This window comes from Homo sapiens, chromosome 11, assembly GCF_000001405.40.
Source record: "Homo sapiens chromosome 11, GRCh38.p14 Primary Assembly".
NCBI classification, from domain to species: Eukaryota; Metazoa; Chordata; class Mammalia; order Primates; family Hominidae; genus Homo; species Homo sapiens.
Genome location: NC_000011.10, coordinates 1,778,649 through 1,804,661, shown reverse-complemented (window position 1 = coordinate 1,804,661; position 26,013 = coordinate 1,778,649). Strand labels below are relative to the sequence as shown.

The window sequence follows — 26,013 nt, the reverse complement described above, 5'->3', positions numbered from 1 at the left end:
CTAATGTGATGTAAATGCCACATAAATAGTTGCTATACTGTATTGTTTAGGGAACAATAACAAGGAAAGAACATGGACATATTCAGTGCAGACACAGCCTTTGTCAAACTGTGTTTTCCACCTGGAGTTGGTAGAATCCGCAAGTGTGGAACAGGCACATATGGAGGGCTGACTGCGCTTCCAGGAAAACCAATAGCTTTAAGCTGGAAAGGAGGAGAGGTGGGAATTAATGAGCTAATCATCTCACTTATGAAGTTAGAAAAAGGAGGAAAGGCCCAGACCAAGTCCGCCCTGTGAGCACAGAGCCTTGCCCTGGCCCATTCCGCCACCCTCCACGCCTGCCGCCCGTCCACACCCGCCGCCCTCCACACCCGCCGCCCTCCACACCCGCCGCCCTCCACACCCGCCGCCCGTCCACACCCGCCGCCCGTCCACACCCGCCGCCCTCCACACCCGCCGCCCTCCACACCCGCCGCCCGTCCACACCCGCCGCCCGTCCACACCCGCCGCCCTCCACACCCGCCGCCCTCCACACCTGCCGTCTGTCCACACCCACCCAGCTCACCATGGATGATAATATCACCTTGCTTGTCATAGACAACACCTCTGGCATGTGCAAGGCCAGCTTCACCGACGACGATGCCCCCTGGGCCGTCTTCCCCTCCATCGTGGGGTGCCCCAGACACCAGGGCATGACGGTGGGCATGGGTCAGAAGGACTTCTATGTGGGTGGCGAGGCCCAGAGCGAGAGAGGCATCCTGACCCTGAAGTACCCCATCGAGCATGGCATCATCAGCAGCTGGGATGACATGGAGAAGATCTGGCACCACACCTTCTACAACGAGCTGCGGGAGCACCCGGTGCTGCTGACCGAGGCCTCCCGAGCCCCAAAGCCAATAGAAAGAAGATGACCCAGATCATGTTTGAGACCTTCAACACCTCGGCCATGTACGTGGCCATCCAGGCCGTGCTGTCCAAGTACACTCCTGGCCATACCACTGGCATCATGATGAACTCCAGCGACGGGGTCACCTGCACAGTGTCCATCTATGAGGGCTACACCCTCCCCCATGCCATCCTGTGTCTGGACCCGGCTGGCCGGGACCAGACTGACTACCTCACAAAGATCTCACTGCGCATGGCTACGGCTTCACCACCACGGCCGAGCGGGCGATCACGTGTGACATTAAGGAGAAGCTGTGCTATGTTGCCCTGGACTTCAAGCAGGAGGTGGCCACGGCGACCACCAGCTCCTCCCTGGAGAAGAGCTATGAGCTGCCTGACAGCCAGGTCATCCCCACTGGCAACGAACGGTTCCGCTGCCCCGAGGAGCCCTTCCCGCCTTCCTTCCGGGGTGAGTGGAGACCCCCTCCTGGCCCTGCCCACAGGAAGGTCACCCTCGGGGCCATGCTGTGGAAGCTGAGGCTGGCCCTCATTTCCCCCTCAGGCATGAAATCCTGTGGCATCCACGAAACTATCTTCAACTCCATCATGAAGTGTGACATGGACATCCTCGAAGACCAGTACACCAACACAGTGCTGTCTGGAGGGACCAGCATGCACCCCAGCATCACCCACAGGGTGCAGAAAGAGATCACCGCCCTGGCGCCTGGCACGATGAAGATCAACGTCATTGCTCCTCCCGAGCGCAAATACTCTGCGTGGATCAGCGGCTCCATCCCGGCCTCGCCATCCACCTTCCAGCAGATGTGGATCAGCAAGCAGGCGTATGACGAGCCTGGCCCCTCCATCCTCCACCGCAAATGCTTCTAGGCAGACTGGACTTAGCTGTGGTACACTCTTTCTTGACAAAACTTTGTGCAGAAAACAAGATGAGATGGGCGTGGCTTTTTTTTGTTTTTTGTTTGTTTTTGATTTTTTTGTTTTTTTTGGCTTGACTCAGGAATTAAAAACTGGAACGGTGAAGGTGACAGCGGTCGGTTGGAGGGAGCATCCCCCAAAGTTCACAATGTGGCCGAGGACTTTGATTATACATTGATCTTTTTTTTAAATAGTCATTCCAAATGTCGTGAGATGCAATGTCACAGGAAGTCTCTTGCCCTCCTAAAAGCCACCCCACTTCTCTCTAAGGAGAATGGTCCAGTCCTCTCCTGAGCCCATTAGCTAATTTTGGTACTGAAGTTATGCTAGCCTCCTAAAATGAATAGGGGGAGAAAAACAGCCTATTTTTATATTTACTCCAAGAGCTTGGCTGGAAGACGTCCATATATTTACATTAGGGGAGGTGATAGTATTGCTTTTGTGTAAATTATGTATTGCAATTTTTTTAAATTTTATTTATTTATTTTGAGACAGAGTCTCGTTCTGTCGCCCAGGCTGGAGTGCAGTGGCGCCATCTCGGCTCACTGCAGGCTCCGCCTCCCGGGTTCACGCCATTCTCCTGCCTCAGCCTCCCAAGTAGCTGGGACTACAGGGGTCTGTCTGCCACCAAGCCTGGCTAATTTTTTGTATTTTTAGTAGAGATGGGCTTTCACCGTATTAGCCAGGATGGTCTCGATCTCCTGACCTCGTGATCCAACCGTCTCGGCCCCCCAAAGTGCTGGGATTACAGGCATGAGCCACTGTGCCTGGTCTGCAACATTTTTTAAATCTTCACCTTAATACTTTTTTATTTTGTTTTATTTTGAATGATCAGCCTTTGTGGCCCCCCTTTCTTGTCCCCCAACTTGAGATGTAGGAAGGCTTTTGGTCTCCCTGGGAGTGGGTGGAGGTAGCCAGGGCCTACCCGTACACTGACTTAGACCAGTTGAATAAAAGTGCACACCTTAAAAAAAAAGAAAAGAGAAAGAAAAAAGAGAATAACCCACGGGCCCCCGTGGAATTAAAGGAAATCATTTTTTAAAAATACAATAAAAATTAATGAAATTCTAAACAAAGACCTTTTAGAAGTGCTTCCATGATTCACAAGTTAGTTCTGTGAAGAGGTTAATAAAGACAAACTGTTAAGACAAATCAAGACTGATCAAGGAGGGAGGCAGGGGAGAGAGAGGGTGAGAGAGAGAGAAGAGTGTAAAGGAGCTGCAAGTCCAAAGGCCGCCAAAGTTTTAAAAAGTCCTAAGAGGAGGCCATGAGCAACTATATGCCAAACAATTTGCAATTGTAGCTGAAATGAATAAATTCATGGAAAAAGATAACACACAAACCAACCAAAGAAGAAAAAGAAAACCTAAGTATAAATACCACCTTGAATAAATGAAGCCAGAGTGTGACCATAAGGAGGAAAAAGTCAAAGAACAGAAGGTCCAACCTTACACAACTCTTCAAGTCAGCATAAAAATAGGCTTAGGCTGTTGTGTTTTTTTTTTCCATTCATTTAGGAGGCTAGCATAACTTCAGTACAGAAATTAGATAAGGACAGCGTAAGAAAGGGAGGTCACAGACCGGTCTTATTTTGAAGGCAGAAATCCTAAATAAAATATTAGCTAATCACATCCTGAGACAGGCAGCATAGTTTTCTGATCAACTTAGACTGATATAAGGAGATATATTGATATCATAAGAATGACGTGATATTAGAAACTATGTTAAAAGTAAGGTCACATACTTGAGGAAATTTGGGGCAATGTCTTATTCAAGATGATGTTACCACGAACGTCTTCCAGCCAAGCTCTCGGAGACTCTGGGAATTCCGTGAACATTCAGGGAGCTTCCATTCCAGTGTGGAAAACAATCAAAAGTGAACAAGTCGCATGTTCTCACTCACAGGTCGGAATTGAACAATGAGAACACATGGACACAGGAAGGGGAACATCACACACCGGGGCCTGTTGTGGGTTGGGGGGAGGGGGAGGGATAGCATTAGGAGATATACCTAATGTTAAATGACGAGTTAATGGGTGCAGCACACCAACATGGCACATGGATACATATGTAACAAACCTGCACGTTGTGCACATGCACCCTAAAACTTAAAGTATAAGAAAAAAAAAGTGAACAAGTAGGAATGAAGATAGCATCTGGGGGTGGTGTGTGCCTTGAACCAACACAAAAGGCAGCTATTCTGTGACACAGTGACTGCTTCTGACAGGGACACAGGTTCTTGTGTTTTTTTTGTTTTTTTTTTTTTTTTGAGACAGAGTTACGCTCTTGTTGCCCAGGCTGGAGGGTGCAATGGTGCGATCTCGGCTCACCAAGACCTCTGCCTCCTGGGTTCAAGCGATTCTCCTGCCTCAGCCTCCTGAGTAGCTGGGACTACAGATGTGCACCACCATGCCCGGCTCATTTTTGTATTTTTAGTAGGGACAGGGTTTCACCATATTGGCCAGGCTGGTCTCGAACTCCTGACCTCATGATCCGCTCGCCTTGGCCTCCCAAAGTGCTGAAATTACAGGCATGAGCCGCCGCACCTGGCTTCCTGTTATATTCTTGATTTGAAAGGATACTTTTAATATTTCACCATTAAGTGTAACGTTTGCCATAGATTTTTGGTAGCTGTTACCAGGTTGGGGAAGTTCCCTGCGATGTCTAGTTGGCTATTACATTCATTTTTAAAAATAATGAATAGATACTGAATTTATCTGGAGAATTTCTATTGCCCATGAGATGATCATATGTTTTTTCTTCTTTGATCTATGAACGGATTTTCTCTAAACATGTTTAAAATTAAATGTATTGCTTTTGACAAGTAAGTCTGTTCACATGACCCTAAGCTGAGAAGGGTTGACAGTAGGAACTCCTTCACCCCCCGCGGAGAGGCCTGTGTCCCACGTTCATTTGTGTGCATCCTGAGATATCCTTTACATAAAAGAAAAATTAAAATACATTATTCAAATTCTTTTCTATGCATATTGTATCATAATATACAATTATTATTATTGTTATTATTATTATTTTGAGACAGAATTTCTGTCACCCAGGCTGGAGTGCAGTGGTGTGATCTCGGCTCACTGCAACCTCCGCCTCCCGGGCTCAAGCAATTCTCCTGCCTCAGCTTCCCAAGTAGCTGAGATTCCAGGCACTTGCCACCATGCCTGGCGAATTTTTTGTGTTGTTAGTAGAGACGGGGTTTCGCCTTGTTGTCCAGGCTGGTCTTGAACTCCTGACCTCAAGTGATCCTCCCAAAGTGTTGGCATTACAGGCATGAGCCACCGCACTCAGCCCATAATATACAATTATTCTGTGCCACACTTTTTTTTTTTCCTTAACAGTCTGTCTCGGCGGGGCGCAGGGGCTCACTCCTGTAATCCCAGCACTCTGGGAGGCCGAGGCGGGCAGATCATGAGGTCAGGAGTTGGAGACCAGCCTGGCCAACATAGTGAAACCCCGTCTCTACTAAAAAAAAAAAAAAAAAAAAATTAGCCAGGCGTGGTGGTGAGTGCCTATAGTCCCAGCTACCTGGGAGGCTGAGGCAGGAGAATCACTTGATCCCGGGAGGCAGAGGTTGCGGAGAGCTGAGATCGCGCCACTTCACTCCAGCCTGGGTGACAGAGTGAGACTCTGTCTCAAAAAATAAAAATAAATTTTAAAAATCCGTTTCCAGAGATCATTGTCTGTGAATACATAAAAGCCTTTTAACTTTATGTTTATGATAGCGATATGGTACTCAACTGCACGGGTCACCTGAGTGTATTTAACTAGTGCTTTAGGGTGCATGGTTAGGCCTTTCCAACCTCTTGCCATCCTATGCAGTGCTTCAATGAATAACACTTTACACACATCATTTTTCCCATGTACAAGTGCGTCTGCGCCCCGAAATCCTAGAGGTGCTGTGTCAAAAGTTATGTGTACCTGAGACTCAGTAAATTTCATCAAATTCTATCCATAGAGGTTGTTTCCTGGTATAATCTTCCAGCAATGCACCCATGATTTCTCCCCAGACTTTCACTCAACAAATGGATGTGTGTTAACAGCTTTGCTTCTTTGTTTGGAGTTTTGTTTGTTTGTTTCTCTGGCAGGCGGCGAATGCCCTCTCAGCGATCCCTCATCTTTCCTTTCATTCCCATCGAGTCTGAACGTCTCTTTGTACGTTTCAGGCCAGTTGTATTTCCTTTCTTCTGAATTTTGGCTGGTCTCTGTTGCCAATATTTCCTTTGGGTTTTTAGAGCTTTTTAAAATTATTCACAGGAGCTCCTCAAATATTAGGGAAATTAATTCCTTTTCTACGATTGTTGTATATTCTGTTTATCAGCAGTCTTTTGGCTTTGCCTGTTGTGGGTTTTTTTAATGCAGAATATATTTTTTAATTGTATGTAACCAAATTCATCAACTTTCCCAAGTTTTGGCTTTTGGGTTTGAGTGTCATATGTAGGTTTTCCCCACCCTGAGATGCCGAAACAACAGTAACTACAAAGCAAACTCACATCTAGTGAGCCACACGCACCAGGCCATTCGAAGAGCATAATACACAGCCGGGCGCTGTGGCACACAGCTGTAATCCCAGCACTTTGGGAGGCCGAGGCAGGCAGATCACTTGAGGTCAGGAGTTCGAAACCAGCCTGACCAACATGGTGAAACCCTGTCTCTATTAAAAATACAAAAATTGGCTGGGCGTAGTGGCAGGTGGGCACCTGTAATCTCAGCTACTCGGGAGGCTGACGCAGGAGAATCACTCGAACCCAGCAGGTGGAAGTTGCAGTGAGCCAAGATCATGCCATTGCACTCCAGCTTGGGCGACAGAGTAAGACTCTGTCTCAAAAAAAAAAAAAAATTTGCTTAACACACATGCATTATTCCCCCGACAGAGGAGGCCGACAAGGGGCTTGCACAAGGCACAGAGCTAGTGCACGCAGAGCCAAGGGTTGAGCCCAGTCTCTGGCTCCGGAGCCCCACTCTCAGCCACTCGGTTCTACTGCCACCACTATTGGCTGTATTCTTTTTATAGTTCTACTTGTTATTGTTAAATGTTTGATCTTTTGGGAATTTATTTTGGTGTGAGTTGCAAGATACAAACTGCTTTTCCCCCAGCTCTTAAAGAGTTGCCCCATTGCCGTTTTGTGAACCCCCATCTTCTTCCAGTTGGTGATGCCACCTTAACTGGCTCTTCTTTTAGCCTGTTCTCTGGTCCTGCTCTGTCCCTAGGGAACTGATTCATTCCCAGGACTTTAAATTCCATGTGTACACTGACTCCCAAATGTTTAATCCAGCCTGTACCTCCTTCCTGAACAAAACTTGGGAATCTCATTCTCTGTTTGACATTGCCACTTGGACAACTCCAGCAAAAACCCAACATGAGTGGGTGTGGTGGCTCACGCCTGTAATCCCAGCACTTTTGAGGCCAAGGCGGGCAAGATCACCGGAGGTCAGGAGTTCGAGACCAGCCTGGCCAACATGGTGAAACCTGTCTCTACTAAAAATACAAAAAATCAGCCGGGCGTGGTGGCGGGCGCCTGTAATTCCAGCTACTCGGGAGGCTGAGGCAGGAGAATCGCTTGAACCCGGGAGGCAGAGGTTGCAGTGAGTTGAGATCATGCCACTGCACACCAGCCTAGGCAACAGAGTGAGACACCATCTCAAAAAGAAAAAACAAAGAAAAGCGAAACAAAAAATCCAACATGCTCTCCACCACCCGACCTGCTTGTTTCTCAGGATTCCCCCCAGCTTAGCAAATGGAAGCTCCATTCTTCAGACACTCCGGTCATAGACTCTGACTCTGTTCCTTCCCACACACCCCAGGCCTCATCACCAACAAATCCAGTGAGCTCTCGTCTGAAAACAGATCTAGAGCATGGCCACTCCTCCTACTGGCAGCAATTGCTTCCGCGGTTCCCTTCCCTGCCTCCCTGAAACCTGGTGGACATTCTCATCGCTAGCACGTTGCAGGACAGGTTGAGCTTGACACCCTTCCTCTGTGTGTTCGAGCAGGCCCAGTGTCCCACCTGAGTGGCGCTGAAGGCTGATAGGATCTGGGTGACAGTGTCCCTCCTGAGTGACACTGAAAGCTGATAGGATCTGGGTGACACTGTCCCTCCTGAGTGGCGCTGAAGACTGATAGGATCTGGGTGACAGTGTCCCTCCTGAGTGACGCTGAAGGCTGATAGGATCTGGGTGACACGTGTTAGGTTTGCTTACATCTTCCAGTGTGGCTAAGTTGGGCTCAGATTCTCAAGCCCAGTCAAGTCACTGCCAGGAACAGAGCCCTTGAACTCTTGCTCTGGTTCTAAGGATTTCAAATTGATTCATATCTACCGCCCAAGGGCAGGGATGTAACTTCCTTGTGCTCAAACTCATCTTTTGTTAAGCTCGATGGTGTCTTAGATTGTATGTTGGAGGATGATCTATGCAGGATGTGTCAGGAGGTGAACTTAGGGCCTGAGCAGGCAACATGTTAGCCTGGAGCCGGTCGCTGGCAGATTAAAATCCTCCCTGAACACCAAGGGAAGTGATAGATTAATCTCTCTCCCGCTTCTCAGAAACATGTCAGCCAGGTGCAGTGGCTCACGCCTGTAATCCCAGCACTTTGGAAGGCTGAGGCAGGTGGATCGCCTGAGGTGACCAGCCTGCCCAACATGGAGAAACCCCATCTCTGCTAAAAATACAAAATTAGCCGGGCATGGTGGTGTGCGCCTGTAATCCCAGCTACTTGGGAGGCTGAGACAGGAGAATCGCTTGAACCCAGGAGATGGAGGTTGCAGTGAACCGAGATCGCACTACTGCACTCCAGCCTGGTGACAGAGTGAGATTCCGTCAAAACAAAACAAAACAAAAAAAAGGAACATGTTGTCTACCTGCTGGAAGCATTTTCCTTTGTACCTAATCTACAAAAACTCGTCTCTCTGAGTTCTTTCACTGTAAATCTCAATTAGATTCAGATTCAACCAAGCAAAGTCTGGCTTTCCCTGTTCCTGAGAGAGTTAGAACCTAAACTTGAAAACCTTCTAAGGAAACAAAAAATTGGGAAGAGAAACAAAACCATCTCATTTTCAAATTATAACTGTCTAGAAAATGACTGGTTCCTGCCAAGGTGAAGTAGAAGGGGCCGTATTTCGGATCACGAGGTCAGGAGATCGAGACCATCCTGACTAACACGGTGAAACCCCGTCTCTACTAAAAATACGAAAAATTAGCTGGGCGCGGTGGCGGGTGCCTGTAGTCCCACCTACTGGGGAGGCTGAGGCAGGAGAATGGCATGAACCCAGGAAGCGGAGTTCGCAGTGAGCCGAGATCGCGCCACTGCACTCCAGCCTGGGTGACAGAGGGAGACTCCGTCTCAAAAATAAATAAATAAATATAAAAATAAAAATAAAGAAGGGGCCATATTTACCCCCACCCTAAAGCAAGCAAACAAAGAAACAGAAGTTTAAAAAAAATACATGGGGAAAAAAGTGTTCTCCAGACATGGGACATCCAATGGTGCTTGGTAGTGAGAGAGGGGAGCGTGCAGGGTAGTGGTCCTCGAGAGAGGGGAGCGAATCAAGTGACGATTACAGTTGGAGCAGGTGGATCACTTGAGCTCAGGAGTTAGAGACCAGCCTGGCCAACATGGTGAAACCCTGTCTCTACTAAAAATACAAAAATTAGCCAGGCGTGGTGGCACGCACCTGTAATCCCAGCTACTCTGGAGCCTAAGGCAGGAGAATCGCTTGAACTTGAGGAGAATCGCAGTGAACCAAGGTCACACCACTGCACTCCAGCCTGGACCTGAGACTCCGTCTCAAAAAAAAAAAAAAAAAAAGACACCTGGGGTTGGCAGGGCAAGGTACCAAGGAGGAGAGCACAGGGATTGAGAATCCCGGAGACCTGGAGAAGTTCCCTTCAAACTTCCAGGTGTGATCAGTGCCGGCACTGGAGGAAACCACCCCAAACTGGGAAGGAACCTCCCAAAAGAGATACGGGAACACTCTTCAGAGCTCACTCACCACCAGAGGGGAAACACTGCACAATTCATAAGGTATTGAGCAGACTACGCAGAAAGGTTTTGCCTTAATAGAAGAAAGATTAGCTCTAGACTAGATGCTGCTTTTATTCTGCATGACAAGGCTTAAAAGTAAGACCCATACCATCGCAAAGAAGATGAGGGAAAAAAGAAAATAAAAATAGAAAAAAAGAAAAAAAAAGTAATACCTAGAAGGGCCAAACATAACTGCATCCCAGAACAAACGTTAAGAATAGTTACATGAATACAACAGTATCCAGCACCCAGCAAGGTAAAAGTTACAATGCCTGGCATCCAATCAGAAATAAACAGGAATTCAAAAAAGCACAAAAATATGATCCATCGTGAGGAGAAAAATCAATCTATAGAAGCAGATTCACAAATGATAAAATGAAAGAATTTGTAGATAAGATATTAAAACATTTATTATAATTGTATTTTATATGTCCAAGAAGTTAAAAGAAAGGATACTTATGTTAAAAAGAGACAAGGAAAATATTCTTAAAACACCCAAGGACTTCTAGAAATAAGAACTACAATGCCTGAGACAAAAATCACACTAGGTGAATTTGATGGCAGATTGGAAAACTAACTATCCAAATGAAACACAGATAGAAAGGCCGGGTGCAGTGGCTCATGCCTGTAATCCCAGCACTTTGGGAGGCTGAGGTGGGTGCATCCACAAGGTCAGGAGTTCGAGATCAGTATGGCCAATATGGTGAAACCCCATCTCTACCAAAAAAATACAAAAAAGAAAATTAGCCAGGTGTAGTGGTGCATGCCTGTAATCCCAGCTACTTGGGAGGCTGAGGCAGGAGAATCGCTTGAACCCAGGAGGCGGAGGTTGCAGTGAGCTGAGATCGTACCATTGTACTCTAACCTGGGTGACAGAGCAAGACTCTGTCTCAAAAAAAAAAAAAAAACTGGGCATGGTGGCTCACGCCTGTAATCCCAGCACTTTGGGAGGCCAAGGTGGGCAGATCACAAGGTCAAGAGATCGAAACCATCCTGGCTAATACGGTGAAATCCCGTCTCTACTAAAAATACAAAAATTAGCTGGGCGTGGTGGCGGGTGCCTGTAGTCCCAGCTACTTGGGAGGCTGAGGCAGGAGAATGGCTTGAACCCAGAAGGCAGAGCTTGCAATGAGCCAAGATCGCACCACTGCACTCCAGCCTGGGCAACAGAACGAGACCCCGTCTCAAAAAAAAAAAAAAAAAAAGAAAGAAAAAAAGAAACACAGAGAGAAAAAAGACTAAAAGAAAAACTCCATCAAATACAAATGAACAAAGCATCAGTGAGCCGTGGGACCACTCCAAACAGGCTAACATGCATGTAATGGAAAGTCCCCAAAGGAGGGGTGCAGAAATTATTTGAAGAAATGCTAGCTGAAATGTTTTCAAACTTCATAAAATTTATAAACTCACAGATTCAAAAATTCCAATGAACCCCAAGCACAATAAACATGAATAAACGACAGGCGGGCACATCATGATTAAATTGCTTCAACCCAGCAATCAGTGCCAAAGGAAATATTTTGAAAGAAGCATCCGTAGAAAAAGGATACATCACATACAGAGAAACCAAATGAGAATGACAGCAGGCATCTCACCAGAAACACCACAATTTAGAATACAGTAAAGCAACAGCTTTAAAGTTCTGGAAGAAAATTAAAAAACTGTCAACTTGAGTTTTTATATCCAGAAAAAAATTCTTCAAAAATGAAAGTAAAATAAACATCTTTTTTTTTTTCAGCTAAAAGGTTTCATAACCAGCAGACACACACAAAAAAATTCTTAAAGGACATCCTTCAAGCAGAAGGAAAATTATACTAGATGGAAGTTGATCTATACAAAGCAAAGACAAATACCAGAAATGGTAGATTTTTCTTTTTTTTTTTTTTTTTTGAAGTGAACATAAACTCAGGATTTTATTGTCTTCATAATAAAAGATGGCACTTGGAACTGGATCATTTGGCCCTTTCTCTTCTTATCTCCTCCCAGTTCAAAATGCTTGCATCTTTCGGTAGCCAGCATTCTCTTGGATCTGCAGTTGGGCTGAATGCACTCAAGCCCCAGCACAATCTTCTTTGTAGTTTTAGCCTTTTTCCGGAAAATCGGCTTAGTCTGCCCACCATAGCCACTCTGCTTCCTGTCATAACGCCACTTCCCCTGGGCGTACAGAGAATCCTTGCCGTCCTTGTACTGTCTCACTTTGTGAGGTTGGTGCTTGTCACACTTCTTACAGAATGTCCGACGGGTTTTCGGGACTTTCACCATGTTTGCGTGAGCACTATCGGCACGGAAAAGAGATTTTTCAAATCTTTTTCAAAGATAACTGACTGTTTAAAACAAAATAATAAGAATGTAATTTGAAGCTTTTTTTTTTTTTTTTGAGTCAGAGTCTCACTCTGTTGCCCAGGCTGGAGTGCGGTGGCAGGATCTCCACTCACTGCAACCTCCACCTCCCAGGTTCAGGTGGTTCTCCTGCCTCAGCCTCCCAAGTAGCTGGGATTACAGGCAGGCGCCCCCATGGCCAGCTAATTTTTGTACTTTTAGTAGAGACGGGGTTTCACCATGTTGACCAGGCTTGTCTTGAACTCCTGGCCTCAAGTAATCCGCCCGCCTTGGCCTTCCAAAGTGCTGGTATTACAGGTGTGAGCCACTGCGCCTGGTCATAATTTGAAGCTTATAATATGAAGTAAATAAAATGTATGGCAACAAGAACACAGAGTCTGGGGAGGGGCAGGTAGAAGTACACGGTTGTAAAGGTCTTATGCAATACATAAAGTAGACTACTATTACTTGAAAGTGGAGAGTGATAAGGTAAATACACATATACACTATAAGCCCTGAGTCAACTAGTAAAATAACAAAGCACAAAGGTGTAGCTAAGAAACCATCAAAGAAAATAAAATGGAATCATAAAATACACTGAATATTTTTAAAAGGCAGAAGAGAACAAAGAACAGATGGGGCAAATGGAAAACGAAAACAAGGTGGTATATTTCAATTCAACCTATCAATAATGGTTTCATGGTCTAAAAACCCTGATTAAAAGAAAGAAATAGTCAAATTAGATTTTAAGTAAGAAAAGTATGACCTAACTATATGCTGCTTATAAGAAACTTGCTTAAAACATAAAGACACAAATAGATTAAAAGTAAATGAAACAGACTGGGCATGGTGGCTCATGCCTATAATCCCAGCAATTTGGGAGACTGAGGCAGGTGGATCACCTGAGGTCAGGAGTTTGAGACCAGCCTGACCAACATGGTGAAACCCTGTCTCCACTAAAAATACAAAAATTAGCTAGGCGTGGTGGCACACACCTGTAATTCCAGCTACTTGGGAGGCTGAGACAGGAGAATCGCTTGAACCTGGGAGGCAGAGGTTGCAGTGAGCCAAGATCACGCCACTGCACTCCAGCTTGGGCAACAGAGCGAGACTCCACCTCCAAAAAAAGAAAAAAAAAGTAAATTAAACAGCAATAAGCAATTGGAATTTAAAATTACAAACACATTACCACCTTCAGTAGCACCTCAAGATGAAATACTTAGGTATACATCTAACAAAAAAAGTACAAGATCCATATGAGAAAAACTGCAAAACTCTGAGGAAAGAAATCAAAGGAGATCTAAATAAATACAGAGAGAGTTCATGTTCATGAATAGGAAGCCTAATATCGTCAGTACATCAGTTCTTCCCAACTTCATCTGTAGATTCGATGCATCCCAATAAAAATCCCAGCAAGTTATTTTGTGATTAAAAAAACAGATTCTGTTTTTTCCTTTTCCTTTTTTTAAATTTAATTTTTGTAGAGATAGAGTCTTACTATGTTGCTCAGCTGGTCTCAAACTCCTGGCCTTAAGCAATTCTCCCACCGCAGCCTCTGAAAGTGCTGAGGTTACAGGAATGAGCTACCATACCCAGCCAGATCCTAAAGTTTATATAAAAAGGCAAAAGATCCAGACTATCCAACACAATATTGAAGAAGAACAAAGTTGGAGGACTGAGCCTACACCTCAAGATGTACTACAAAGCTGCAGTAACGAAGACAAAAGAATAGACAGACCAACAGGCAGAATAGAAAGCACAGAGGTAATAGGCTCATAGAAATAGAATAATCAACTGATCTTTGACACAGAAGTAAAGGCAATTCGATGGAGAAAAGAAAATCATCTCAACAAATGGTGCTGGAACACCTGGACATATGAAGGGGAAAAAAGAATCTAGGCATAGACCTTCCTCCCTTCACAAAAATTAACTCAAAATGGATCATGGACCTATAAGCAAAGCAAAACTATAAAGCTCCTAGAAGATAACGTAGGATAAAGTTTGATTGACTCTGGGTTTGGTGATGACTTTTTTTGTTTCATTTTAAGATCCAGTCTCGCCCTGTTGCCCAGGCAGGAATGCAGTGGTGTGATGGTAGCTCACTGTAGCCTCAACCTCCTGAGCTTAAGTGATCCTCCCACCTCAGTCTCCCGAGCAGCTAGGACCACAGGCATGCACCACCATGCCCAGCTGATGAGGAACTTTTTAGATACAGGACCAAAAATATGGCCCATGAAAAAAGATGTGATAAGTTGGACTTATTAAAATTATAAACTTCTGCGGTGTAAAAGACACTGCTGAGAGAATGGAGTCACAAGGCACAGACTGGGAGAACATTTTGGTCAAACACATGTCTGATAACGACCTTGAATCCAAAATACATGAAGAACCCTTAAAATTCAGTAACTTAAAAAAGTCCGTGTAAGACGGTGCAAAAGGTACAAGCAGATGTCCTCCACCCCCAGAGAGGATCGACAGATGGGAAATAGGCATATGTTTAGCAAATCAAACCCCAAAATCTATAAAAAGGATAATACTCATGACCAAGTGAGATTTATCCTGGGAATGCCAGGTTATTTTATGATGTTTTAAAACTCAACGAGGGCCGGGCGCGGTGGCTCACACCTGTAATCCCAGCACTTTGGGAGGCCGAGGCGGGTGGATCACGAGGTCAGGAGATCGAGACCATCCTGGCTAACACGGTGAAACCCCGTCTCTGCTAAAAGCAAAAAAATACAAAAAATTAGCCGGTTATGGTGGCGGGCACCTGTGATCCCAGCTACTCGGGAGGCTGAGGCAGGAGAATGGCGTGAACCCGGGAGGTGGAGCTTGCAGTGAGCCGAGACTGTGCCACTGCACTCCAGCCTGGGCAACAGAGTGAGACTCTGCCTCAAAAAATATATAAATAAATAAAAATAAAAAAAATAAAAAACCTCAATGAATTTAATTCACCATATTAACAGACTGAAAAAGAAAATGCCTGTGAACATCTCCACAGGTTCAGAAAAAGCTTTTCACAAAATCCAGTATCCATTCCTGATCAAAACTCCCAGCAAACAGAGAAGAAAAGGAAATGTCCTCATCCTGATTTTAAAAAATAAAACTATAGAAAAACCTACAGCGAGCATCATCCTGAATGGTGAAAAAGGAATGTTCTTCTCCTACGGTCGGGAACAAGACAAGAATGTCTGCTCTCACGACTTCCATTCAACATTCACTGGGGTTTAGCCAGTGCAAAGAAAACAAAATTTATCCAGATTGAAAAGGAAACACAAACGTCTTTATTTTCCAAAGACATGATCATTGTTGAAGAAAAACCTACAAAATCTATGAGAAAGTTACTAAAACTGATAACTTAGTTTAGCAGGGTTGTAGGATAGGTCAATGGACAAATATCAATTGTATTTCTATATAACAGCGACGAACATTCGAAGTTGATTTTATATTTTTTATTTTTTTTTTGAGAAGGAGTCTTGCCATGTCACCCAGGCTGCAGTGCAGTGGTACAATCTCAGCTCACTGCGACCTCCACCACCCGGGCTCCAGCAACTCTCCTGCCTCAGCCTTCTTAGTAGCTGGGATTACGGGTGTGCACTACCACGCCCAGCTAATTTTTGTATTTTTAGTAGGGAGGGGTTTCACCATATTGGCCAGGCTGGTCTTGAACTCTTGACCTCAGGTGCTCTGCCTGCCTTAGCCTCCCAAAGTGCTGGGATTACAGGCATGAGCCACTGTGCCTAGCCCAAAATTGATGTTTAAAACGGCCATTTAGAAGAAAATTGAAAATAGATATTTCAGGATAAATTTGACAAATATGTCCAAGACTTGTACTCTGACATTCTAAATACACTAAGCAAAAGTAAAATACTAAGCAAATGGAGAGAGATATACAGTGTTCATGGATAGAATCAATATTGTCAACATGTCAGTTGTTCCCAAAGTGATCTGTAGAATCAACCCAATCCAAATCAAAATCTCAAGACAGTTTTTTTTTGTTTTTTTTTTTTAGAAATGGGCAAGCTGATTTTTTTTTTTTTTTTTTTTTGAGACTGAGTCTCACTCTGTCGCCCAGGCTGGAGTGCAGTGGTGCGATCTCAGCTCACTGCAAGCTCTGCCTCCCAGGTTCATGCCAGTCTCCTGCCTCAGCCTCCCAAGTAGCTGGGACTACAGGCGCCTGCCACCATGCCCGGCTAAGTTTTTTGTATTTTTAGTAGAGACGGGGTTTCACCATGTTAGCCAAGATGGTCTCAATCTCCTGACCTTGTGATCCGCCTGCCTCGGCCTCCCAAAGTGCTGGGATTACAGGTGTGAGCCACCACACCAGGCATGGACAAGCTGATTTTAAAATGTGTATCAAAATACAAAATATCTAAAATAACTAAAATCAGGCCAGGCATGGTGGCTCACGCCTGTAATCCCAGCACTTTGGGAGGCTGAGGCGGGTGGATCACCTGAGGTCAGGAGCTCAAGACAAGCCTGGCCAACATAGTGGAACCCTGTCTCTACTAAAAATACAAAAATTAGCCTGGTGTGGTGGCGTGCACCTGTAATCCCTGCTACTCAGGAGGCTGAGGCAGGAGAATCACTTAAAACTGGGAGGCGGAGGTTGTAGTGAGCCGAGATGGGGCCACTGCACTCCAGCCTGGGTGACAGAGGGAGACTTTGTCTCAAAAAATAATAATAATAATAATAGTTAAGGCTGTACAGTGCTGGTATAAAGACACACAAATAGATAAATGGGTCAGAATAGAGTGCCCAGAAATAGATCCACATGCGTATGGACAACTGAATTCAACCAAATTGCCAAGGCAATTAAATGAAGAAAAGGCTTTTCAACAAATGATGTTGGAACAACTGGATAGTCATAACAATGAACTCCAACCCTTACCTCACGTGATACACAAAAACTAACTCAAAATGGATGATAGGCCTTATTGGAAGAGATAAAGCTATAACACTTCTAACAGAAAACATAGGTGAAAATCTTACTGATCTTGAGTGTAGCAAAGATTTATTAAACACAACAAACACTGTTAAAGGAAAAAAAAAGAAAAGGAAAGGCTGGGTGCGGTTGCTCATGCCTGTAATCCCAGCACTTTGGGAGGCCAAGGCAGGCGGATCATGTGAGGTCAGGAGTTCAAGACCAGCCTGGCCAACATGGAGAAACCCCATCTCTACTAAAATACAAAAATTAGCCGTGCATGGTGGTGGGCGCCTGTAGTCCCAGCTACTTGGGAGGCTGAGGCAGGAGAATCGCTTGAACCCAGGAGGCGTCGGTTGCAGTGAGCCGAGATCGTGCCATTGCACTCTAGCCTGGGCAACAGAATGAGACTCCATCTCAAAAAAAAAAAAAAAATTGCCCACATATCTTCCATGCAACCCAGCAAACCCACTCCTAGATATTTACACAAGAGAAGCAAAAGCAGGTGTCAACACAGACTTGTATGTGAGTGTTCCTAGCAGCTTCACTTGTAATAGCCAAAAACTGGAATCCTCCCAAAATGCCATGAACAGTTAGATGGAGAAACAGATTGTGCCTGTGATGGAACACTATTCTGCAATCATAATGAAGGAGGTATTGATTGCGATAGGCAGAACAATGGTCCCCCAAAAGATGCTCATGCCCTAATCCCTGGAAGCTGGGAATATATTAGGTTTATGCTGAAGGGGAATTAAGGTTGCAGAGGGAATTAAGGTTGCTAAGCAGCTGACCTTAAATAGAGAGATTATCCTGGATGATCTGAATAAGCAATGTGATCACAAGGTGCTTAAAAATGGAAGGAGGCAGAAGAGGAGGTCAGAGTGCCGGGATGTGGGAAGGACCAGCCCGGCCAATGCTGGCTTTGAAGATGGAGGTGGGCCGCCAGCCAAGGAATGCAGGCAGCCTTGGGAGCTGGAGGATCAGGGACATGGATTTTCCATCTGAGCCTCCAGAGAAAGCACAGTCATTCCTGTTGACACCTTGATTTTGGCCTAGGGAGACCCACTTCTTCAGAATTCCGGCCTCCAGAATTGTAAGGTTAATAGATTTGTGTTGTTTTAAGCCACTCACTGTGTGGCAATTTGTGACAGCAGCCGAGAGAAAGTGAACACATAGACACATGCATGACACAAATACATCTCAAAATAATCATGCTGAACACACTGATATATGCAGTGACATGGTTACATCTTAAAATAATTACGCCGAGTGAAACAAACCAGAAAAAAAATAAGCACGTGCCGTCTGACTTCATCTATATAACGTTCTAGAAATGGAAACTCATCTACAGAAAGCAGAACAGTAGTTTTCTAGGAACCGGCAGGGTTGGGGGTGGGGAAGAGGGGGGAACAGGGAGGGATGGTCAACGTGTCACAGCGGAGGCTGTGGAGGGAAGCTCATGATCTCGACCGCGGAGATGCGTTCAACAGTGTGCACAGGTCTCAAAATCGGTCAAGTGGCACACTTTAGGCAAATGCAGTTGATTGTCCATCTGTTATCCAGTCATTCGCCGGGTAACCACGGGGGAACGTGTCCTAAGGCAATTTCATGGTTGTGAGAACATTGCAGAGTGCACTTACACAAACCCAGATGGTGTGGCCTGCCACACACGCAGGCTGCACGGTACAGCCTACTGCTCCTAGGGGGCAGGCCTGCAGGGCTGGGCACTGTGCTGAATCCTGCAGGCAACACAATGGTAAGCATTTGTGTATCTAAACACAGAGAAGGCAGCTCATTGTGCTACAGCCTTAGGAGGCCTACGACGGCACTAGGCGACGGAAACTTTTCAACCCCGTTATAGTCAGACGGAACCGCCAGGGTCTAAGTAGCCCATTATACTTCAAATAAAATGATAAAAAGGCTGAGTGCTGTGACTTACACCTATAATCTTAGCACTCTGGGAGGCCGAGGAAGGAGGACTGCTTGAGACCAGGAGTTTGAGACCAACATGGACAACATAGTGAGACCCCGTCTGTACAAAAAATTAAATTAAAAAATTAGCCAAGCGTGGTGGTGCATGTCTGTGATCCCAGCTACTCAGGAGGCTGAGATGGGAGGATCACTTGAGCTCAGGAGGTTAAGGCTGCAGTGAACTATGATCACAGCACTGCACTCCACTCTGGGCGATAGAGGGAGACCTTGTCTCCAAAAAAAAAAAAAAAAAAAAGGTAAAAAACAGTTTTAACCACTTAAGCTGGCAACAGTAAAAATGGGGTCAGATGGTTCAAAAGAAGTGCACCAGAGGTTGATTTGGGCTACGGGGAGACCCAGCCTCATTGAGGGACTGGGGAGGCTCCTCTGGGAGCAGCATCTGGGGCCGGATCTGTGGGACAGTAGCAGTCAGTGCACTGGGAGGAGGCGTCCGCAGACAGCGAGCTGGGCAGAGGGTCAGCGCTCGCTGGGCAGAGGCCACGTGGGGAAGAGTTCCTGGGGTGAGCGGGCGCCACCAAGGTCAGCAGGGGACCAAGACCACAAGGGACCTTGGGCCCCAGAACTCTGTTCCCGTAGCCAAGTGCGCTGGAAATCACAGAGAGTCCCGGGGCAGAGCAATGGGATCAGACAAGCCTTTAAACGAGTACCTCTGCCGACTGCACCATGGTGAGCAAACCGTAAGGGCCCCAGCTCTGCAGAGGAGAGAGGATGGGTGGGCCCAGGTGGGCACCTGCCAGGAGAAGGGGTCTGGGAGAAGCGGGGTTGGGAAGGTGCGGTGTTTGTGGTGAGAAGGGAGTTAAATCACTGTCTGAGACGGAAACAACACAGAGGGGGTGCCAGTCCGCCTGCCAGGGTGCCGGTGAGTGCAGGGAGAATCTGCTGCAAGGCCTGGCTACCTCGGGATGTGGGCATGAAAGCCAGGCAGAGGGTACTGGGGCCCTGTTAGGGGTTCAGTCACGTCCCCCAAAATTCATGTGTTGAAGCCCTGATCCCCAGGACCTCAGAATGCAGCTGTATTTGGAGATGGGTCTTTACAGAGGTGAACAAGTTAAAACGAGGTCTTCAGGGTGGGCCCTAATCCCATAGGCCTGGTGTCCTTGTAAAAAGTGGAAATTAGGACACAGATGCACACAGAGGTGTGGCCCTGTGGGGACACAGGGAGAAGGAGGCCCCAGGAGAAGCCAGCCCTGCCCACACCTTGATCTCAGACTCCAGCCTCCAGAATGTGAAAAAATCGATGTCTGTTGTTTAACCTGCGCAGTCTGTGGTCTCTGTTCGGGCAGCTCTAAGCAAATTCACCCGCTGCTTTTCCGAACGAACCTCCGAGAGCTAGCTGAGTCCATCGCTAAGTCCATGTATAACTCTGCGGTGGGCCCATCGGAGCTGGGGACCAGGAGGACCCTGCTGATCCTGGGCGGCCGATGGTGATGCGGCAAAGGTGGCAGGAACGGATGTGGGTGGGGAGGAGGGACAGCGTCCTGAGCACGGCAGACAGCCAGGGTCAGCTGGGAGAATTGGGGTTCATTTGGGGTGGAGCGTGGGTGGGGCCAGCAAGAGCCTGCAGCACAGGACGCAGGGCCACCCTCAGGCCCTTGTGGATGCTGCTTGTGTCTCTGGGCCCAGGGACGAGGCCGCTGAGGCTGCCTCTGGCGGTGCTGCCCACCTCAGACTGGGATGTGCCAGGCAGCCTGAGTGTGGGGTGCTGTGGGGGAGCCACCAGAGTCATCAGCCCCAGCTCTGCTCTCACCAGCGGCTGGGAAGGGAGAGACGGCCACTCTCATCTCCTCCCCCAGTGAGGGAGTGGGTGGAACCTCTGTGGAGATGCCTGCTGGGCATCTTGGTTCCCTCCTCTGCCTGGAGGGCAGGTGCGGCTGGGCCCCGGGCCAAGGACTCCTGAGTCTGGACCTGGGGGCTCTGCTTAGTGACCAAGCTAGGGAGGATAAAAACAGGAGCCAGAGGGGCCTGGGAGAGCTGAGGAAGAGTGACCACCAGGGCCCAGCCAGGGATGGGGGCTGTGGGGGCCTAGGGCCAGAGCAGGCTGGGGGCCCTGGGCTGGGAGGGGAGACTCCTGCCCACCACGTCACTTGGGATGGGTGGGAGCTCCAGCTTGGGTGCCAGGCACAGGGTGAAAATCCTGACTCCGTGACTTCATGGCTGCTGGACCTGCCCTGCCTCTGTCTTCTTGCTGTGAAATGGGATCAAGTTTCTGTCTCTGTCAAAGGTGGAGCGGATGCCCCATCCTCAGCACTCTCCACACGACATTCTGCCAGGCGATGGGGTGGATACTTGGGGAGGTCCATGAGTCGGGGCTTAAGGCAGGAGAGGAACAAAGAGTGGAATACGTGGAGTGACTGCAGTCCCTGCGGTTGAGAGGTGCCCAGACGGCAGGACTTTCGGTTTTACAAAGGTCAGCTGGTCACCCGGCACAAGGTCTGTATTAGTCTCTGACTAATTAACTGCTGTGGCAGATTACACAAACACAGTGGCTTAAAGCAACGTAAATCTATCATCTTGCAGTTTGGGAGGTCACAAGTCCCACGTGGTTTTCAAGGAGCTAACATTAAGATGCCTGCAGGGCGGTTCCCTTCCGGAGCCTCTAAAAGCAAATCCATCTCTCCCTGTGTCTCCCATTCCCAGAGGCCGCCAGCATTCCCTGACTCACGGTCCCCTCCTCCGACTTCAAGTCCAGCAGTGGCATCTTCTAGTCTCCTGTGGCTCTGACCCTCCCCAGCTCCTATCCTGATGCTTGTGATTGCCCTGAGCCTGTCCGGATATTCCAGAACAATCTCCCATCCCATGTGCCTCGACTTAACCACATCTGGAGGCCCCTTTGTCACGTAGGTCCCGGTGATTAGAATGTAGACATCTTCGGGGACCCTTTTCAGCCCAGCAAAAGAACAAAGGATTGGGTAGCAGGAAGGGGCAGGGAAAGACGTGGAGGGGCCGTGGGCAGAGGCTGGGTACTATTGAGGGGTCCAGAGACAGGAGGATGGGGTGAAGGGGGACTCCTGCCCTGCTCCCTGGTGAGATGAGGGGCCTGGCTCCACTCGCCGCAGGCCGGACCCACAGAGGTCGGGAGATAATCCTGCTTTGCTGGGCATTGCGGCAAGCGCCTTCTCTTTCAGGGCAGGCAGTGGTGTGTGGCTGGCACCCCTGGGGCACTGGGGTTTTCCCAGATGAGGATACAGAGGAGGGGCATCCCTGGCCCAAGTATGAGCCACTGTGGGGAGGGGGCTGCTAGCTAGAACGGCATCCTGCCCATGGGGGAGTGTGGGGCGGGGACCAGAGCCCTCTGTCCACTAGGGCTGTGTCCAGGGCACAGGGGAGGAGGACCCACAACGACTGTAGGGGGACAGCAGGGACACCGCCCGTCACCCCAACAGGGATGTGACTTTTGCAAAACTGCACAGGCAGCAAAAAAGCAAGATTGGGAGGTGTTGCACTGTCCTTTTGCAACTTCCTCTGTGAGCATCAGGATTTTCTCATCTGGGGCAAGGGATCAAGGCCCTGCCTGCTCCCTGGGGCCTGGGGGGATGAGACGAGGCAGCGAGTAAGAAAGGACTTGGGGGCATGAAGCCGACTGCACCGGTGAGGGGCTGGTGGCCACCATCTGCTGGTGACCCTTAGGGGCCACCGCCTTCCCAGCATCTCCCTCCTTGCTGCTGGGACCGCACTGGAACCTCGCCTTGGTCTCCACATGGACCCTCTGGGCCCTGTGATGTCACCCTCCCAGCTCCTATGCCCCAGCCCCCTGAGTCCTCAGCCACAGTCTCACACCCTCGGGACCTGGGCAGCTGACAGCCCCCTGGGAGGTAACAGCTCCCAGCGGTGAAACAGCTGTGACGTGGCTCCCATATGTTGTCTGCACCCTGGGATGGGAGGTCCGTCCTGGCTGAGGGTGGACGCCCCTTGTCATGGTCTCAGCAGTGGAAGGACGGGCTCAGCCAGGCCCAAGAGGCAGGAGGGCACTGCCTGTGTGGGCAGAACCTGCAACAGAGGCCAGGCAGTTGCACAGATGGGTGGAGCCTCTGCCAAAGGGCATGGAAGAGCCGCCGTCCAGCTGAGAGGCACAGGCTGTGTGTGCAGGCTGCACGGCTGAGGCTGACAAGAGGGGCTGCCTGGACCAGGGTGAGAGGCCGCAGAGCTGGGGACGTGGCATGGTGCTGTGGCCTCAGGGCCTGGAAGCCTAGGCCAGCCTCACATGACAACCCTAGCACATGGCTGCGGGAGCCACCTCCAGAAGGGGAAGGAAGTCACTGGCTGGCCTGCAGACCACAGGAAGGGCCCCTCACATCATATGCTCAGAGGTCACCTGGACTTGGGCTTCAGCGGTCGCTGGTGCATGACATTCAGGGAGGGAGTGAACTTTCCACTACCGGGGGGTTTCTCTTGCAGGCCAAGGGCCTGAGGTCTGGGCCCAGGGATGCTGCAGACGCCCTCAGTGGTCTCCACGGCCTCGCCTCTGCCTCCCGGTGCTGACTGCCGCACCCCACTGGATTAGGGAACATCTTTCCCAGCATCACAGCTGCCACCCTCACACCTGCAGGGATTACTCCTCCCGCTGCCAGATCCTTCCAGCAGCTTTAAGAGCATCCTGGCCACCACGTCGCTCCCCTGCCCCTTCCCAGCCACACTCCCCGAGACAGTCAGCCTCAGACACCAGCTCCTGGCACCTCCTCTCCACCTCCTTCAAACCTGAGCCACTCGGAGCTGCCCCAGCAAGGTCCTGAGGGCTGCATGTGGCCGTGTCAGGGGCATCAGAGTGCGGACGAGCTCCCCGGTCGCTTCTGGGAGCCCTTCCTGTGCTTGGCCCCAGGACTCCACACACATCCTCCTTTCCCCGATGGCTGCTCTGTCTCCAGCTTTGTCCCCTCCCCAGCTTTTCCTTGCCACCTCTGTGTCCACCCTGACCCCTTGTGATTTCCTGCTGACCCCGGAAATCCTCCAGGCTGGAAATCCTCTTGGGCTAAGGGGTCCCACGCGCATCTCAGCCAGGGCGCTCCTTCCATCCTCAGACCTGCGTCCGGCTGCCCGTCGGCCATGCGCTGGGGTCCTAGCAGCAAGTCGCCCCTGGCAGTTCTGACCATCCCCTTCAGACAGGCTCTTCCTCACCCTCCCCCGATCACCACCACCTCCGCCCATCCAGCCCACCAGCAAAATCTGCCACCTCACCCTGCCTTGTCAGCCACCACACCCCACCCAGCCACCCCATATTCTTTCTCTGCGTCTCCCGCGCCCCATCACACCCTTCTCTCAACGAGTGCCAGTGGCCCCGACAACCTGCTGAGGTTGTCCTCACCCTCCTGTTCTCAGCCCTGCAGACTCCCCATGGGACACTCAAGGCGCAGCCTGCAGGGTGCAGCTCCCTCCTCTGTGCGCTCCGGCACCTGCCCGCCTGTACCCCTGGCCTGGGGCATTTGTGCCCGCCGGGCAGGAGGCTGGCTTCCTCCCTGCCTCCGCATCCTTACCCGGACCCCAGGCATCCCCAGAAGTGGTCCCGCCCTTCCCCTTTGCTGCTCTTCCAGTCACCACCCCTGTGTTTGGTACTACGTCCCCCATGTCTCCCACCCCCTACTATTCGCTCCTGGAGGGCAGGGATTTCTGTCTGTCCTGTTCATCACAGCATCCACATCACATCTGGCCACAGAACGTGCAGCACAAACCCTTGGCAAACAGCAGCGAAGGCCCGGGCAGGTGAGGGCCTGCACTCTGCAGACAGGACCCTGCTGGGTGCTCTCGGTGGAGACTTTGGGAGCACGGTACAGAGCCACGAGCAGGGCTGCCTCCTGCCTGGCAGTGGTCCTCCCAAGAGGACCCAGCCTAGGCGCACAAGGAGCAGGGGGAGCCACGGACCCCGAGAACCCCCTTTCCGTCTGCCCAGCTTGCACTCTCCCGTGTTAGGTGTCGCCCAGAGAGGGGCGCAGTCCCTGCAAACTCAGTGGGGTGAGCGAGTGAGGGGCTATAGCATGTCCCACGTGGGACCCAGAGAGAGCAGCCTGCTTGCCAACACTCCCAGCACCACCCACCTGATGGCCTGTGAACAGACTCAGATGCCCTCACCGTGGCATTCAAGGCTCTTCCAGCCTCCCTCGACCTTCCTGTCCAGCCTCCAGGGCTGCAGCTCACCTCCACCTGTACACCCTCGGTCTGGCCAAGCCAGCAGGATGGCGTGCTGGCCTCCCTGCCCCTGCTTGTGTTGGGGGCCCCTGCCCGGGCACTCTTCCCCTGGGGCCCTGCCTTCCCCAGCAGGCTCCCCACCCTCTGGCTGGCCTCCTCTTGGAAGTCATCTTCCCTGCCTTGAATGAGCTCCCTAGCCTGGTTGCCAGGCTTCTCCCACGACCTGTGTGTCCTCCATGGCCCAAGGGGCAAAGAGTCCTGGGCTTCCTTGTGTGGCTGCCAAGCGGTCCAGAGCCAACAGAGAGAGGCAGGTTACACCGGGAACACCTGCCACTGTGCCCCCACCCTGCCTATGAGGATGGAAGTCACCATCCCATTTTACAGATTGGAGACTAAGGGATGAAGAGGGGATGGAGAAGGGGATGGAGAGGGGCAGGTAACATGGGGAACACCAGCCACCATGCTCCCGCCCTGCCCATGAGGATGGACACTACCATCCCATTTTACAGATTGGAGACTAAGGCTCAGACAGGTGAGTAACCCACGTGAAGCCACACACCTGGGGTCCTCTGTCTGTCACAGAGCAGTGCTTCCTGCTAGCATGATGCAGAGAGGTGTGTGGTATAATGCCGGGTAACTCGAGGGACGAGGGCTCTGCATCCGCAGCACTCACTGTGAGGCTTGGGGTCCCTCCAGGACTGGAAGTGGAGGCCTCAGCATCTGCCTCTGGGCAGGGCCCTGCCCCCAGCTCAGCACCCCCATGCAGGCTGGAAGAATCAGGGCATTGTTCACAGGACAGAGGGGCCACCTGTCCCCA

The 26,013-nt window shown here is 49.4% G+C and overlaps 1 long non-coding RNA gene and 2 pseudogenes across 2 annotated transcripts; 1 reads left to right on the top strand and 2 right to left on the bottom strand.

The window, feature by feature from the left end:
* LOC124902610 (uncharacterized) lies at nucleotides 1-25,939 on the bottom strand. Of its 2 annotated transcripts, none has more exons than XR_007062549.1 (3): nucleotides 25,756-25,939; nucleotides 566-799; nucleotides 1-203 (listed from the first exon to the last, which is right to left on the bottom strand). It is a non-coding gene; the product is annotated as an uncharacterized LOC124902610 (long non-coding RNA). The 2 variants fall into 2 exon arrangements; XR_007062550.1 differs by having other exon boundaries at nucleotides 584-799.
* LOC390029 (actin beta pseudogene) lies at nucleotides 468-2,067 on the top strand (annotated as a pseudogene).
* Nucleotides 11,737-12,137, bottom strand: RPL36AP39 (ribosomal protein L36a pseudogene 39; annotated as a pseudogene).
* Nucleotides 25,940-26,013: the final 74 nt, after the last annotated feature.